Here is a 17309-nt window from a genome sequence, read left to right on the forward strand (position 1 = left end):
CTAGCAAATTAACTGAAAATCTCTAAGTTCCAGTTTCCTTATGTACAAGTCCAAATTCATAATGCCTGCTCTGCCATCCTCCAAAGAATATTGAAAGAATCATGAGATACACACACTACACTCTAAAGCACTCCATTAACTCAAGAATACTATTATTGGTGGAAGAGAGCAATATCTTTTGTCCTCACTCTTCTGCAGACAGAAGAATTATACTGGAAGTAATAACATGTGTTTGAGGATCAAAAATCATCATCATAAATTGTTTAGAATATACTATCACACTAAATGTCATTATGTCTTCTCTTAAGAAAAAATGTTTAAAAATAAGCATAAGCTGGCCAGATTTGGTGGCATATGCCTGGTAGTCCCAGCTACTCAGGAGGCTGAGGTGACAGGATCATTTGAGCCCAGGAGTTTGAGGCTGCAGTGAGTCACGATCACATCTCTGCATTCCAGGCTGGGTGACAGAGTGAGACACCGACTCTAAAACGATCTTTTTTAATTTAAAAAAAGGTATATTGGTCTAAAAACAATAACAGTGCTACCAAAAATAGAAGTACAGAAATGAAGACCATCGTTCTTCATTTGTATCGCTGAATCTGAAAAACGATTTGGATTATCAGTATTATTTTTTTCAAGACAGAATCTTGCTCTGTCGCCCAGGCTGGAGTGCGATGGAGCAATCTTGGCACATTGCCACCTCTGCCTCCTGGACTCAAGTGATTCTCATGCCTCAGCCTCCTAAGTAGTGGGAATTACAGGTATGCGTCACCGCGCCCAGTTAATTTTTGTATTTTTAGTAGAGACTGGGTTTCACTATGTTGGCCAGGCTGGTCTCGAGCTCCTGTCCTGAAGTGATCCGCCCGCCTTGGCTTCCCAAAATGCTGGGATTACAGGTGTGAGCCACCAGCCCATTCAATTATTTGGTTTATTAAGTCATTACCACCCTAATTATGACGTGGCTGCAGTAATCCAGAATGCACATGAATGAATTGGAGTACTGGCTACTATGTGCACCCATCAGAATTTTATTTAGCCAAATTTATTTGTTAAACCTCACAACTTCCTGCTACCCACCAAACATCTTTCACAAATTCCAGGTAGCCTTTTGCGACCCGACAGGATGCATCAATGAACAGCATTATAAACAACATTTTGCTTGCATGGAAATATTAACCATGCTCCACCTTGAAGAACAAAGGTTATTTATGAAAGTAGTGGTGACTAAGAAAATCAACTATTATAAAATTACTAAATTTTAAAAATAGATTAAAATACACCTGTTTTATTCTGATTACATGCTGTCTAAGCAATTAATCTTAAAAACAAAGAAACTACATTAGCTAACTGGGTTATAGTAGAATGATTTTTTCAGCGACCTTAAATTTATCTCCTTCATACCAATTTCTTTTGCTGTTTTTAAATGATCTTTGTAATTTCATTTCTGATTATGAAACTGGCACGTATTTACCATATAGAAAATGTAGGAGATCACAGAAGAAAAAATACTCATGATTTCACTGTCCAGAGACTTAAGTGTATAAGTTGAGTATCCCTAATCTGAAAATCTGAAACACAATTTATTGTTAAGTACTGACCTCATGTCCTGTAACCCTGATGAATTTATTAATTCTAGTAGTATTTTAGTACGTTCCTTGAGGTTTTCTACATATAAGAACATAACATCTGCAAATAAAGGTAGTTTAACTTATTCTGTTCCAATCTGGATACCTTTTATTTCATTCTCTTACCTAATTGTCCTGGCTACTATCTCCAGTACAACATTGAATACAAGTGGTGAGAGTGGACATCTTTGTATTATTCCTAATCTAAAGGTGAAAGCATTCAGTCTGTCACCACTAAACATGATGTTAGCTGAAGTTTTCTCACAGATGTCCTCTATCAGGTTGAGGAAGTTCCCTTCTATTCCTTGTTTGTTGAAAGAATACTGAATTTTGCCATATGCCTTTCCCATGTCTATTGAGATTATCACATTAGTTTTGGTTTATTTTCTACTGATGCTACCTTAATTGGTTTTCAGATGTTAAACTAACCTTCTATCCCTGGGATAAATCCCACTTGGTCATGATGTATAATTTTTGCAGATGTTACCGGATTCAGTTTGCTAATATTTTGTTGAGGATTTTGTGTCCGTATTTAAAGACGATACTCATTTGTAGTTTTCTTGTGATGTCTTTGGTTTCAGTGTTGGAGTAATACTGGCCTCGTAGAATAAGCTGGGAAGTGTTCTCTCCTGTATTTTTGGAAGAGTTTGTGAAAAGTTGTTATCAACTCTTCTTTAGATATTTGGTAGGATTTAGCAGTGAATCCGTCTGGGCCCAGGCTTTTGTTGGCATGTAGTTTTTTTGATTGCTAATTCAATCTCTTTAGTTTTAGAAGTCTATTCAGATGTCAGTTTTGATTGCTTGTGCTTTTTTTCAGTATTTAAAAACTATTGCAAACTTCTAGTTTGTAATGGTTCTGATAAGAAATTGAATGTCATCCTTACATTTACTCCTCTGTGTGTAATGTGTTTTTTCTCCTTTTATTCCTCTTAGGATTTTCTGTTCATCACTGGTTTTGATCAATTTGAGTATGGTGTTCCTTGGTGTAGTTTTCTTCATGTTTCTTGTCCTTAGGATACACTATTTTTCTGGGATATTTGGGGTTTATGGTTTTCATTGCCCATCAATGATAGACTGGATAAAGAAAATGTGGTACATATACATCATGGAATACTATGCAGCCATAAAAAGGAACGAGATCATGTCTTTTGCAGGGACACAGTTGAAGTTAGAAGCCATTATCCTCAGCAAACTAATGCAGGAACAGAAAACCGAACACCACATGTTCTCACTTATAAGTGGTAGCTGAATGATGATATCACATGGACACATGGGAGGAACAACACACACTGGCCCCAGCCTGTCAGAAGTGAGGGATGGGGGAGGGGGGAGGGAGAGCATTGGGAATAGTAGCTAATAGATGTTGGGCTTAACACTTAAGTGATGAGATGATCTGTGCAGCAAACCACATGGCACATGTTCATCTATGTAACACACCTGCACATCCTCCACATGTACCCCTGAACTTAAAAGTTGAAGGAAAAAACTAAACAACGATTTTAAAAATCCACTTAAACCTCCATACATGCACAACAATTAAATCAAAATTAATTACAGAACTAAATGTAAACTGCAAAACTAGAGAACTTACAGTAGAAAGCATAAGAGAAAATCTTCATGATGTGGAGTTAAGCTAAGTATTCTTAGTTATCACATCAACAAAACTATTAAAGAAAACATTGGTAAATTCAACTTTATACAAATTAAAAATTCTTGGTCAGCACAGGACACTATTCATAGAATAAAAAGACATCCTACAGATTGAGAGAAGAATGTGGAAATCAGTAATATGACAAAGAACTTGTGTGATGGTTGTGTGTCACTGTGACTGAGCCCCAGGGTGCCAGGACATTCGTTCCTATGTTATTCTGTGTTTGTACTGGAGGTGGGTTCTGGATGACATTAACACAGGAATAGGCAGTCTACGTGAAGCAGATTGCCCTCCCTAAGGTGAGTGGGCCCCAACCAATCAACCAAAGGCCAGAGGAGAAGTAAAAGGCCTAATAAGAAGGAAATACTTTCCTGGGTATCCCCCTTTCCATCTTGGGAATTTCAGCCTCCAGAATCTCATGTCTAAACTGTGCGTATATACACACACACATATATGCCATATACATATACATACATATATATTAATATATACATATAGACACACACACACACTTCATAGGTAGGTAGGAAGGATTGGATTTTGTAAAGCTCAGCCATTCGATGATAATTGTTGAAGCTGGCCAGTGATTATGAGGATGTTCTAGTATAGGGTTCTGTCTCCTTTTTTATACTGCTGAGGTTCTGCATTTAAAGAAGTAGGTTAGAATAATAGCTGAATTTCTCCACATACACTTCAAAGCCCTAGGGATTAACACAGAGTCCAAAATACCACCCATAATCCTGCCCCCAACCAGGGCTAGGGAACACTGGGGACCCCAAGTGATTTTATTTAGCCAGGTCTGGGAGCCACATAACAGCACAGGGAGCAGGAAACACCATGCAAATAGAGGCCAGCACAGCAGCGAGGGCCTGTTAATGACAAAACACAGGTAAAACCTTTCTCAGAAAGCGAGTGTGGAGAAACACAGATCAGGCCTGAGACCTGGTGGGTCAGAACCCTGCTACTGGGGAATTGAAAGGCAGGGGCTTCACAGTGCAGAGGACCAGAGGGGCCAATCTTCAAAGGGCAGAATCGCTGGGAGACGGGGAGGCCTGGACAAAGGGAGCATCCTCTGGAGACTTGTGGTGAAGAGAATGAATGAAGTAACTGGCAGAAATTAAAGGTCCTGGTTGAACAAAATAGAACCCCAGACTGAGAGCACACAGGCCTGTCCCCCAAAGCCAGACAATATTTCCTAAAATCCCAAGCAAAAGTCATTTTTGGCAAGTACCTTATATCCAGTGATGCAATCCATGTATCAGGACATTGGGAAAAGTTTATGATTAAGTAGGTAAAACTCAGCGAGACCTGATTCCCTCATGAGGACTCTGTTAAGGATAAATTCCACTCAACAAGTGATGCTTAGGACACACTTTTGAACAGCTCATGTGCATCAACATATTTAAATGTAGATCTCAACCAAAAACCAAGGTGTCACATAGGCTGTCACTTTATGTTTGGGTTAAAATAAAAAATAAGAAATGGTAGGTAATGAGGTTAGAGAAGAGGAAAATGATGTCTTTGATTGTCATAGTGGTAAAAATTTGACATTCAAAGAAATAATTTAAAATGTATAAACCAAACAGTGGAAATGTGTCAAGTTAAAAGGGGATTAGTGACGTTAAAACCTTTTCAGTGCAATGTTAAATGGGAGCTATACAACTCTTCCTAAATAACAAACAAAAAGCACGCACACTTACACAAACACAAAAAGAAAACAAATAACATCAACAAAGAAATACAGGAAATACAATCTACCACATACGGTAAACGTAGACTAGAACATGGAAGAGTTTTGAACATAAACAAGGAAATAAGAATGTTTTTATTAATCTAAATTCTTATCCGCCAAAATCAATCATAATAATAAAAGCTTAAAACATTATATGTAAAAAATCCAATAGTCCAGAGTGAGAGGCAAGAAATGTTTTAATTAAACAGATTTAAAATTTAAAATTTTAACTGATGGACTAAAATTAATTTTGGATGAAAGTTATAATTGGGGCAGAGAATATTCTTTTTCACAACAGAATGCCAGCAAAAAGAAATTAAAATTAATTTTGGATGAAAGTTAAAATTTGGGCAGGGAATGATCTTTTTTACAAAGAATGCCAGCAAAAGCAAGTATAAGGTAAGATTTTGAGATAGACAATTTTCAATGTACAAACTTAAATATAATAACTGACACAGACGGGGTGATTAATTGGTGATAAAATGTTCTGAAGAAGATCACTAGAATACAGGATATTTATACTATTTCAAACCACTTTCCAAATTACTTACAAATAAGATGTCTTTACAAGGGACAGAGCTCCTAGACCCCTCCTTAACCAAGTGACCATCCTAGTATCACCGCACTGGGGATGGACACACTGGGCCTTCTCTGCCTGCAGATGGGCTGAGGTAGGAAGCTCACAGCATGGACTCTGCAGAGTTCCTGGCAAAATGTTTAGGCTGAATTTAATCATGACGACATTTTCAGATAACTTCAGAATGTAGACCATTGAGCCAGACAGCTGACCTGTCCTCCACAAACAAGTCCATGTCACCACCATCAATGACAACAACAAAAAGATGAGGAGATGTTTTGGGTTCAAAATGACTAAAAAAGCATAAGCTGCATAGGCTTTTTACTCTTTTTGAACTCAAAATGTCTCTTCTCCTTTTTGTTGTGTTCTTGGTGGTGACATGGACTGTTTGAAGGAGACAGGTCAGTTGTCCTGTTCAATGTTCTACATTCTGCAGTTATCTGAGGGTTACCGCCTATGAAACTCAGGCTAAGCGTTTTCAGCAAGAACATGGCATTGCTCATACTCTGCCCTGGCAGAGTCCCGGCTGACATGCTGTCTCCTGCCAGCAGCTGCGGACTCCTGTTCTCTACACGATGGGAATTGAGAAACAGGGCTAACGCCGGTCAATGCTATTTGTCCATCTGGGCATTGGTCTCCCTAGGTATTGATCACAATTGGAGGGGGATGGAATGTGGCTTCTCAAATCAAAGGAGCATAGTGGCTTGAAGTCATCAAGAGTATTCTGTGTCTGAAATTCAATCCTCAGTGAAGGACCCCTGCAGTATTGTGTTTGGACTTAAACTTGCTTTGCTGTTTTAGTTGTTTTTATCAAGTGGAAAAGCTGCTTTTTGTGACATTCTTTCATCCTGCCATCCTTTGCGTCCTTCCAGCAGTATTTGGTATCTGTAGGGGAGAGAGAGAAAAAAAATCAAATGAGCATTTTTGTCAGGTCCACCTGATGGCTGAGTCTGGAGGGATTGCTAAGCAGTGATATCTCACTGGGATCTCCTGCTGGGAGGATGAGCTGAAGGGTGAGTCCTGGGCTGTCAGAAGGGGGAAGCACCATCCACAAGTGAGAAGAAAACACTCCTGAACTTCCAGTCAGCCTGGGGTGCAGGATATAAGGACCCCACCTATGCCCAACCAGCAGTGGGCAACATCATCCCCTTTCCTCCTGATCCCCTCTGTCTGGAGCAGAGTGAGGGCTTTTCCTCCCAGTGAGCATGTACTCAGCATCAATCATGCATGCCAAGAAACAGAGGGGAGCAGAAGGACAGGAGCCTCTGCAGAGAAACCCACCCCCTTACAACTCCATGTCCTAGTCTTCTAGGGAGGAGCGGGAGGGCCATGGGAAGAACCCTGGATATGAGAAGCAGCAGAAACCTCAGACAACATCCACGTCCAGGTCCACATTTTACAACAGAGGAGTAGTGATGCCACAGGGGTAAGATGGAACTAAGGCCACATGACTTGCTATTGACAACCCAGGAATTAGAATCCACCCACTAAGGCCTTTCAATAAAGATTGGAGAAAGCGAGAGGAAAGGCTCCAATCTGGAGGTCTCAACAGTCATGAGTGGTGGTTGGGTCACCTTGGCTAGGACAGGAATAAGGTTTTACAGATAAATATGATGGTGCTGCTGTTTCTTTGGTTGGTTAAAAAAAATAAAAAATATATATAATTATAAGTTTTTGTCCAAAGGTCATCAGGAAAGAAAGGGAGTTTAAAAAAAGAGACTCAAAATGGAGTTAGCAAAGTGAGAAAAGGGACTGTAACCATGGCCCAACTTATTTTCCCTAATGCCCTGAAGTTGATTCCACATCCGGTTCCACCTTAAGGCATTTCTAGAAATATTCTCAATATCTAGACCAAGAAAACTCTGAAGTACAAAGTGAAAAGGATTAGTTTGTGTTTTACTACAGTCTCCCGTCCCGCTTATTGTTTTCCCCAAGTACATTATGAGAAAGGTTTCTTTTTAATATTTTATGCCAGTGTGAAGAGAGGCATGAAGAAGTATTCATATACAATCTCGTGCAGCATTTCAGTCTTAATTTGTTATTGTATGCTCTTCAGGACAGGGGGACCAATGAGTTCTCTTTGGGGATTTTGCAGAAGGACAATAATTGACCAAAAGTAAAATTTTCACATTGCAGTGGTGAGACCATTGGTGGGCTATAAAATGGGTGTGGGGAAATGTAAACTGGAAGTTTTATTTTAAAATGCAAAAGAAAATACTGAATTCCACTATATGTAATATGGCAGGTATTATTTCCGTACATTAGGTGTTAATATCATGACTATTTCTTACTTATCTTGTATTCAAAATTCAGCAAGTGTGCTTCAAGCAGAGGCTAAAAGTCTAATCTATTAATTTTCTTGTTTTTCTTCTTGATTTTTTTCTATGCTATACGAAGAGTACTATTGAGAGGGGAATACAGATCCCATCAAAGTCTGATAGAGGCTCAGCCTTTTCTGTGGAGTAGCCACACATATGTGGCACTTCCATGTTGGTAACCTGAGGTCATAGTAGACCAGGGGTCCTTCTCGTCTTTAGCCACATATTAGAATCACATGGGAGCATTTTGAAACTACAGATGCTCAGACCACACCCCAGGCCATGTAAGTGAGCATCTCTAAGTGTAAGTTGAAGGCATTCATCTTAATTGAAATCTCACCGGGTGCTTATTACATGGCAGCAGGATTTAGAGATACTAAATGGACCAGCCCAATTTCCCATCATTTTCTTTCCTTTCCCCGTTTATCTCATGACTGGCTTTGTTCCCAGTGGTTCCATGGATTTTAGCCTTCTCTCTGACAATTTCAGTTAAATCTCTGTCTTATCAATTGGGCTGCACCGAAGCAAAGACTGTCCTGTAGACAGATTCCTGTCATCTAGTGTATGCATAAAGCTGGTCCTGGAGTCACTTTTCTCAAAGTTAATTCATAAAATGCTCTCTCATATACAATGGCCTCAAGATTCATCTGACTTGCATTTCAGACCCTTAACTGGACTTGAAAAGTGGAAATGAGAATAAAAAGGAGAGAGGTTAGAATGACGTACCTCATGATGTATGCAGTTTTCAAGTCCTGCCCTCTGCATGTACTTTTGGAGTGATGTCCCTTTAGAATGTCATAAATGTTCCCCAGTTAACATCAGCTCAAGTGAGTCCATGAGGTGAGAACACTGAGACCCTGGCAACTCCATCCACGTTGGCACTAAGCTGCACATCTGGGGCTAAAGACAAACCTGACTCCAGGCCAGTAGGGAACTCCCACCTGTGACCCTGGTTCTAGTTTAGTTTCCTAGAGGGGCTCTTAGTGCTTAGTTTTAACACTTCTCATTCAGAGGAACAAGTGATGATTAAGAGTTGAATTAGTTGTGTTGCTCAAAAGAAGACTCAAGAGGAAAATCTTCATGTAAATGATGTATTAAAGCAATGACTTCTGCAGAAAGAGGCAATGGAGTTGGGGATGCAGCAAGGAAAGGTAAATTTCCCAAAGGAGTGTGTGATTCCGGGCAAACAACCCTGTGTTCAGCAGCTTAAACTATGTACTTGGATGGGGACAAGGAGGCCTGGCTCTCCTGTGGCCATGAGAGGGACTCTCAAGACAGCAGAAAAAGGAATAGAGCAGAGTTCAGAGAGTAAAGAGGAGATGGGTAGAGAAAGGGCCAGTCAGGGTGGGAGCCCATGGGACACAGAGCTAAGACCAGACAGAGGTTAGAGCAGCTGTTGGAGAGAACAAATGGGAGAGAAAAAGCAGTGAGAGAATGAGCTGTCACCATAGACGGAGAAATAAGAAGTGAGTGCAGCTATCAGCCATAGATGTGATTACCTCTGCGCTCTCAGCATGCGGGCCAGCGAATCTGAATGCCAGTCTCCACTTGCTGAACGGGAGTCTTCTTCTGATGGTCTTCAGTATCAGGACAAGGGAGGCACGAATCCGGCCAGTGACTTGACGCCCTTGTGTGTTGCTTGCTGAGCCTTCAAGTGCATCATCTTCCAGCTGGGGAGGGTTCTTCATCCCCAGAGAGGGCTCTAAAACCAGCTCTGAAAAGAAAACCACAGCCAATGGGATCCGCTGCCATCCATGATCTTACCGTAACTTTCTCTTCCACCCAGAGGACATCAAATCAGGAAAGAGCCTTGGACAAGAAAGTCCAAAGGGTGAGGGGAAGCCGATAGAGTCACTTTAATACTTTCTTTTTTGTTGATCTTTCCTACATTACTCAGTAACGACAAGATTGCCAGGATCCAAAGGCACTGCCAAGTCACAAAAATATTCCAGAAACATAGGATTCAGAAACACAAATAGCTTCCAGGTAGATAAGGCAAAGGCAAGGAAATAACACTGTATGTAGGCTATGCTTTGGGGAGAGAAGAGATTACAAAAATCAAAGTTAAATAAGAACTGGGTTCAAACAGGAGATGGGAATGGAAGGGCCTGGCAGGGTGGCAGCCCATGTGGCACAGAGGTGAGACCAGACATAGGTGACAGCAACTGATGAGAGGAAAGAACCAGGAAGACTAAACCTAGAGAATTTACAAAAGTTGCATCATTATATGATCTACTGCATATATATATACACCCTATATAGCATACACACCAGATATACATAGTCACACGTAATAGGACAAATGATACAAATGCATGTATCTGTACACATTAATTTAAAGAAAAAAAATATAGGGATTTGGGAGGGATTGAATGTAAGAGTAGAGTCACTATTCTGGTCCATCGAAATTGGAAAAATAATTGGAGACATGAGAAGAATGAGAAAGAATAGGTATGGGAGAAACAAATGACCTGGTAGACAGCAGGGAGAAATCACCAGGTGAAGGAAAGTGTTAATGAAACGAAAGGCGTTCACTCTGTCCTCTTACCTGGAGCCTGGTTCAGGCTCTGGACTCCAGGGAAAGTGAGCAAGAGGGAGTGTGTCTGAGCCAGTGGGGTGAGTCTTGGCTGGGGGTGTGAGAATCCACAGAGAAGCAAAAGAGAGTTCAGTGCTAAGAAATCAGTCTAAATAAGTTATCATGGCACGTGTCAGGGACTGCACATCCCCCGACACTCCCGGAGCACCTTCCATGTGTCCTCTCCACTGGCCCAGATGGTGCTCATTATCTCACGCAACCCTCCCTCCCCCTGAGGACAGGGGTTCCCTCATTCCTCAGCTGAGGGCATCGCCTGACAGATGAGCACCAGGCAGCCCCAGGGGCTCCAGGAGGAGATATTGAGTGGGATGGAGAGTGAGAATGAACACGACCCAGGATTTTAAGGTAATCTGAGCAGAAATGGATCCCTGTGAGACAGAAACCGAGGACATGGCCACGGACATGAGTGGAGAATGTGAACTAAATGGAATTTCATAAAAGAGACTGATGTGAACACTTTCCATGTGAAAGTTGCCCTTTTATTTCAAAAAAAAGCAGAAAAAACAGCAGAAGCAGCTGGACATGTCAGGAGACTGAGTGTGGGCCCAGGATTTACACTGTTACTCAATGTGCCTCATAGGTTGTTATTGAAAGTGCCTGACAGGGGAAAATTGGCTTCATGAGGGATGGAGAAGGAGAGGAAGAAAACTGGCAGAGGAGTCTGTGTGAGAAAGGAAAGGAAGAGGGGTCCTAGAAAGCAGAGATCTTCATAACTGCTCTACCTCAGAGGAGACATCGTCCGTGAAGTCACTTGCTAAGTGTAAATTTAGCAGAAAGATAAAAGGATTAGATAACACCTACTCATAGGTTTATTGGGCAATTCTTATGGAATCAGGCCCTTTGGAAATTATGATTGCAGGTAGATATTATTCTTCAGGTATCTTAGATGAGGGAACAGAGATATAAAGAGCAAAAAGACAAAAACCTTGGCCAAAGTCAACAAGCAGAAAGTGGCAAACCCAGGTCCTGAGAGCAGATTCGGTCCTAAGCTCCAGGCCTTTGCTCACCTCACTGGGTTGGAGCATCATGGATTTCAACTTGACCCTGAGGAAGCATGGGAGGCCCCATTCTCTCCTCCACCCACAGCACCGTCGTGACCACCAACACCTGGATTAGAGCTTCATGACGCCGTTTCCTTCCCTACCTTGGAAGGGCCATTGGTTCCCAGAATCAGCATTGGCTGAGAAGCTGCAGGTGGTGGAGGAAAGGCCCCGCTGGGCCAAGCCGTTCCCACAGTGGAACCCTTGATCCAGCTGTAGTCGCAGACAACTGGGCACCAGGGTGCTTGGTTCCAGCTGTGCCTGTGAAACTTGCACCTCTGACTGGTGGTGGCTCAAGTCTCCACTCCAAGTCCCTTGGGGACAGGCCGCCTCGGTGGGGGCTGAAAGGAGAAGGGGCTTCAGTAGGAACAATCTCAGTTTTCCCTTTGTTAAGTCATCCCAGAACACCCATCCCTGATGTCCCTGCTCTCAGTAAAGCCACCCAGTGACCCACGCCACACAGACAGACATCATGTAAATGCAGGTGACGTCACCTCTCCTGCCTGTGCCTGGGGACGCTGACACGGTAGGGGCCCAGGCTGGGGTGTCCCTGAGGTGAAAAACCTCTGCTTCAGCCCAGAGGGCTTTGGATTGTCTAACAAGACCATCCCGATTATTCTGTTACTATTCATCTCTTTCCTGTGCCCAGAGGGAAAGTTCTAGAGAGGCCTCAGAGCACAGGAGAGGAATGGTTATTTTTCTCCACACACAGGGGTGTAAGAACGGGTCAAGGGTTAGAGCTGCGAGGCTTTGAGAAAGAACCACGAAAAAGGGGGCTGGGATGCTACAGACCAAACGCTAAGTGAGGCAAACTTTTCTGGGTTCGGGGACATTTTGAATTTCCCATTGACTATAATGGTTTGACCCCCTACCCACACATATCCATCCTCTTGCCATATAGTGGGTGTCAGCAGACATAGGCAATGTAGGAGAGGGACCAGTCCCTTCCTGCAAATTCAGGGGCCACAAGTGCTACAGATCAGCATGTGCGGTTCCTTAGGAAGGCAACACAGGACACGATCCTCACATTACCCACTCCTCCAGTGGGGTTCGGGTGGCACCCCTTAAACAAATTGTTTCCATTTCCACAGGGAGAGGAATACACGTTCTGAGTGGACTAAGAAAAGACTTCCAATGACCTCACGCCAGTCCAGGTCGGTCTCAAGATGGGGACGGGGCCTGCAGACTGGATCCACGTTGCTGTGGGGCTCCTCTCTCTCCTCCCCTCTCCACATCTTCATTCTCTCCAAGGTTTTCTAAGTTTTCTTAAAAATGCCTCATTGTTCTCAGCTCCAACATGGAGATGCCACTGCCCACTTGGGCGTGTCCCTTGATCCCTGAATGGTTTATAGCAGGACAGAGCTTGCTTGCAAAGGGGCAGGGCATACAGCAGGTGCAAGGTCAGTGTGTATTCTAATTGTTTCATGAATCACTGTGATGCTAGAAAAGCATTTGCTTTTTTGAAACTCAGGGAGAAATGCAAAATGGGAAAGGGGCTGGTCCCAGTATGAAAGGCACTTGCAAGGTCAGTGTGTATCCTAATTGTTTCATGAATCACTGTGATGCTAGAAAAGCATTTGCTTTTTTGAAACTCAGGGAGAAATGCAAAATGGGAAAGGGGCTGGTCCCAGTATGAAAGGCACTTACCAAAATAGAATAGAGGCCAACATTTTTGTTGCTAGTTTCTTTCTTTGTGTGTGTGTGACACAGGGTCTCACTTTGTTGCTCAGGCTGGAGTGCAGTGGTGCAATCATGGCTCACTGCAGCCTCAACTAACCAGGCTCAGGTGATCCTTCCACCTCAGCCTCCCAAAAAGCTGGGACTACAGGTGTGTACCCCCATACTCTGCTAATTTTTTTTTACAGATACGGTTTCACCATGTTACCCACACTGGTCTCAAACTCCTGAGCTCATGCGATCCACCTCCTTAGCCTCCCAAAGTGCTGGAATTACAGGCATGAATCAACACACCTGGCATTTTTGCTAATCTCGTTACAACATAATCCAATATACTGGGGGACATCACAGAGTTCCTTGCTCTTACTAGAAGATAATGTAATGGGTAAAACCCCCAACAATCCACATGAAATTCCCAGAATTGAAGTAAAAAAAAAAGAGAATGAGCAAGAAGAAATGAAAATTGGATTTTCTTTTTACACATCCTGTGAAGCTGCTATCTCAAGGGGCGATTGCTCAGAGGAAGGGTTTTCTGGACCTCATGGGGACAGGAACCACTCTGCTTTGCTCATCGGTTAGGCCAGAGCCTCATGAGGGACACTAGTTGTCGATGGTTTTCATGAGAATAGAGCACTGAGACCAAAACTTGATTGACACTACAAACCCACACATGGAGAAAACCACTGGAGCTCTGCAGAGGATGCAAGCCCGGCCACACATAAAGGAAGGGTCGCTGGACTGCGTCAGTGGAGGGAAGACACCTCAGAGGAAGTAGAGCCGCAGTCCCAAATCTTTTTGGCACCCGGGACTGGTTTCATGGAAGACCATTTTTCAGGCACCAGGTTGGGGGGGATGGTTTTGGGATGATTCAAGCACATTCCATTTACTGTGCACTTCATTTCTATAAACATTATATTGGAATATATAATGAAATAATTATACAACTCACCATAATGCAGAATCAGTGGGAGCCCTAAGATTGTTTTCTTGCAACTAGATGGTCTCACCTGGGGGTGACAGTTACTGGGAGACAGTGACAGATCATCAGGCATTAGATTCTCGTAAGGAAAACACAATCTAGATTGCTGGCATGCACAATTCACAATAGAGTTCGAGCTCCTGTGAGAATCTAATGCCACTGCTGATCTGACAGGAGGTGGGATCCAGGCTGAAATGCTCTCCCACCGCTCACCTCCTGCTCTGCGGCCCAGTTCCTAACAGGTCATGGACCCATAATGGCCCATGGCCCCAGGGCTGGGGATCCCTGAAGAAGAGAATCTAGCTTGGGACACAGGAATCATGAAACAGGCCTCCAAATAATTGGGCAAAACTCCCAACATATGTGGATGGCCAGAGAAGAGATAAAGACATGGAATTAGCAAGATAATTTCAGAAAAGAGAGATGCCCTATCTTAAAGAAGGAGGGCTGTTACATAAATTTCTCCAGCTGAGCTACTGTGGCCAGGAATTTGCCATAAGCCCTCACCACTCCCTTCTCTGGCCTGTTTTGATAGCCAAAGCCTGCTCCTGTGAGAAGGAGCCAGGTGACAGAGGAGGCACTTGGAACAGGAGAAGAGGAAGTTCTACCCAGTGGATGTCTGTGCTTAAAACTGGATCCAAGAGCCAGATTCAAAACAAGCTCAGTGTATAGAGCCTGCTGCAGAGATGGTCTGTCTCAGCTGCACAAGTTGCAGGAAACAAAACATACAGAGGCTGCCTGGGAGGACAGTGGAGCTTTGTGATCTCCAGGGTGAAGTACTCACAGGCTACATCCAGAGCAGAGCAGGCAAGCTGATCCTCCAATGAGGACAAGGTGCTGCTATAAGGCTGGTGGCAGTCAGACACGTCATGGTGAACTGAGGGAGTCAAGTAAACTTCATTCACAGAGTCCTCTGGGACTTCCTGCTCCTTCACCTCTGGCAGCTCCTGGCTGAGCCTGGGGTAAAGAAGACAGAAGATAAACACCAGAGAGAACCAACACCCAGCTGGTTCTATAGGGAGGCCCTTAGGAAGGCCCAGAGGAAGCAAAGTACATTCCCCTGAGAGAGATACAACCATCCTTCCCTGTCTCGAGTAGGAGACAGAGCACGACAGGCTCTCAGTGCACTGGGCAGGCAATGAGCTGGGGAGGAAGCAGATGGAGTGATCCCTGCGGGGAACTGCCAGGACACAGTGCATTCGGCACTTTTGCATCCATTTTGTTGAAATTAGCGTCAGTGGCCAAATGAATACAGGCTCTTGAGTCTTCACAGAGTTCCTGTATCCTCAACAGCTCTTGTTCTCAACATTGTAGCATGGCATGATTTATTTTCATTCACTTCCCTGCTATCGAATACTTGCAAACATGGTAATGCCAAAGAGGCAGACATCAGATGTGCAACTCAACTTCACTTTAAGCAAAAAGGACAGAAAAGGGGACTGCAGAAAATGTCTGTGAGTGATCAGTTCAACAGAGTCAACTGAATGCAGATTAGACGAATTGAAAGGAATTAATAAGGAGGAACTAGAAATACAGGTGTACAATGAAAAGAGTCAACCTTATGAATATGGCATTTCATGGTTGGCTGAACAGATGGAACAGGTATATTCAGCACACTCTGATTTTCCCTGCATCTGAGACTCCAGATATCAACACTGAATTAACTGTTCAGGATTCCTCAGAGTTACCTGGGGCATGGTGGGCTTTGGTCTTCTATCTCCTCTTGATCCTTTTTAATTTCTGTAAATAAATTCACAAAGGGACAGACAGATTAAGCAGGTTCTCCTACACACATAAACAATCCACTGTGCAATCCTAACATAGAAATGTCAGTTTCCTCAGTGGGAGAACAGGACACTGTGAGAGAAATATTCCAGGAGGCCTGAGGTCCTGTCATGAGAGAGATGCCTTGGTTTTCTTCCCTGGGCCTAGGAATGCAATCTCCCTGTTCTGGTAGATCATTATCCCAACATCATCTGTCCTGATTTTGTGCAAACAGTTATGCAAATTTTTCACACCAGTTGAAGGCAAATACCCCAGCTGCTTTCTAGAAGGAAAACTGCAATATTCAGCTTTCAATCATCAAATACTCACGTTGTTCATGGTTACAAGGATTTTAGACACTGAAACTAGAATGTAGGAGGGAATCTACAGACCCTTGAATGAAAATGAATCTTTGGTTCAATACAAAGAGACATTGGCTATTCGTGACATCTAGGAGTGACAAGGCCCAATCTTGTTTCTAGAAACATAACAAAAGGTAATGGACTGCTCAGCTAAAACAGGATAACATCAAAGACATAGAGAATGAGGCTAGGTTCTTTGAAACCTGGGTAATATCTTTAATGAAAAGTAGACAAAAATGCCACAGGCGTTGGGCAGGCATAGAATCTCACAGGACATGGTTGGGGAAAGGAACTTGTAAGGAACACGATAGCTGGCAAGACAAATCTTATTCAGATTAAGAGGCCTGACAGACACCTGTTGGGCACGTGCTGCATAGGTTGGTGTGAATTTGTCAATGTCGTGACAGTGGGCGCAGGGTGACACAGGCATGGTCTGAGATGAGGAAGAGAGCAAAGCTCACTGACCCACCCCTGTCTGTGCTTCCAACTTGATTTTTGATGCTGATGCAAATCATCCTGTGTCTGTGAGTCACGCCCACACCAATGACACATCTCAGTCCAGCCAGGGATGTGAAGTGCAAGGATTACGGAGTCTACCTGGGACACCAATTGGAGATTTATCATGTTCACAATGGAGTACTCACTGTCTACAAGAGCCAAGCTGACTTGCTTGTCTTCAAAAGAGTACAAAGTGCTCCAATAAGGGTGGTAGGAGGGAGTCAGGTCAGGAAGGATGGAAGGAGTCAAGCAACATCCATCCAGTGACTCCTGGGGGATTTCATGCTTGTCCACTCTCAGCGGTCCCCTGCTGAGCCTGTAGGGTAAGAAGGACTAAAGATTAATCCAAGGAGTTTCAGAGCCCTAGCTGGATTTCACGTGAGGCATGAGGGAGTGATCGCAGAAAACAAATGGGTCAACCCATTAAACAGTTAAATATTCTCCTCTTCTTGGTGGGCACAGTGTGGTTGCCATGGGTAGGTTGCAATAC

The 17309-nt window shown here is 43.2% G+C and overlaps 1 protein-coding gene across 8 annotated transcripts in view; it reads right to left on the reverse strand.

Annotated features, from left to right (window-relative positions):
* Positions 1-5187: 5187 nt before the first annotated feature.
* Positions 5188-17309, reverse strand: part of NBPF4 (NBPF member 4) — a 50450-nt gene continuing 38328 nt past the window's right edge. For all 8 annotated transcript variants that reach the window (XM_047446894.1, XM_047446899.1, XM_047446895.1 and 5 more), the window contains 6 exons: positions 16966-17135; positions 15884-15935; positions 14980-15152; positions 11644-11880; positions 9403-9617; positions 5188-6470 (listed from right to left, as the gene is read on the reverse strand). In XM_047446894.1, coding sequence (XP_047302850.1) covers positions 6429-6470; positions 9403-9617; positions 11644-11880; positions 14980-15152; positions 15884-15935; positions 16966-17135 — 889 coding nt within the window. In that variant the 3' untranslated portion in view covers positions 5188-6428. The remainder of the gene's footprint in view (positions 6471-9402; positions 9618-11643; positions 11881-14979; positions 15153-15883; positions 15936-16965; positions 17136-17309) is intronic.

This window comes from Homo sapiens, chromosome 1 (genome assembly GCF_000001405.40).
Source record: "Homo sapiens chromosome 1, GRCh38.p14 Primary Assembly".
Taxonomy (NCBI): domain Eukaryota; kingdom Metazoa; phylum Chordata; class Mammalia; order Primates; family Hominidae; genus Homo; species Homo sapiens.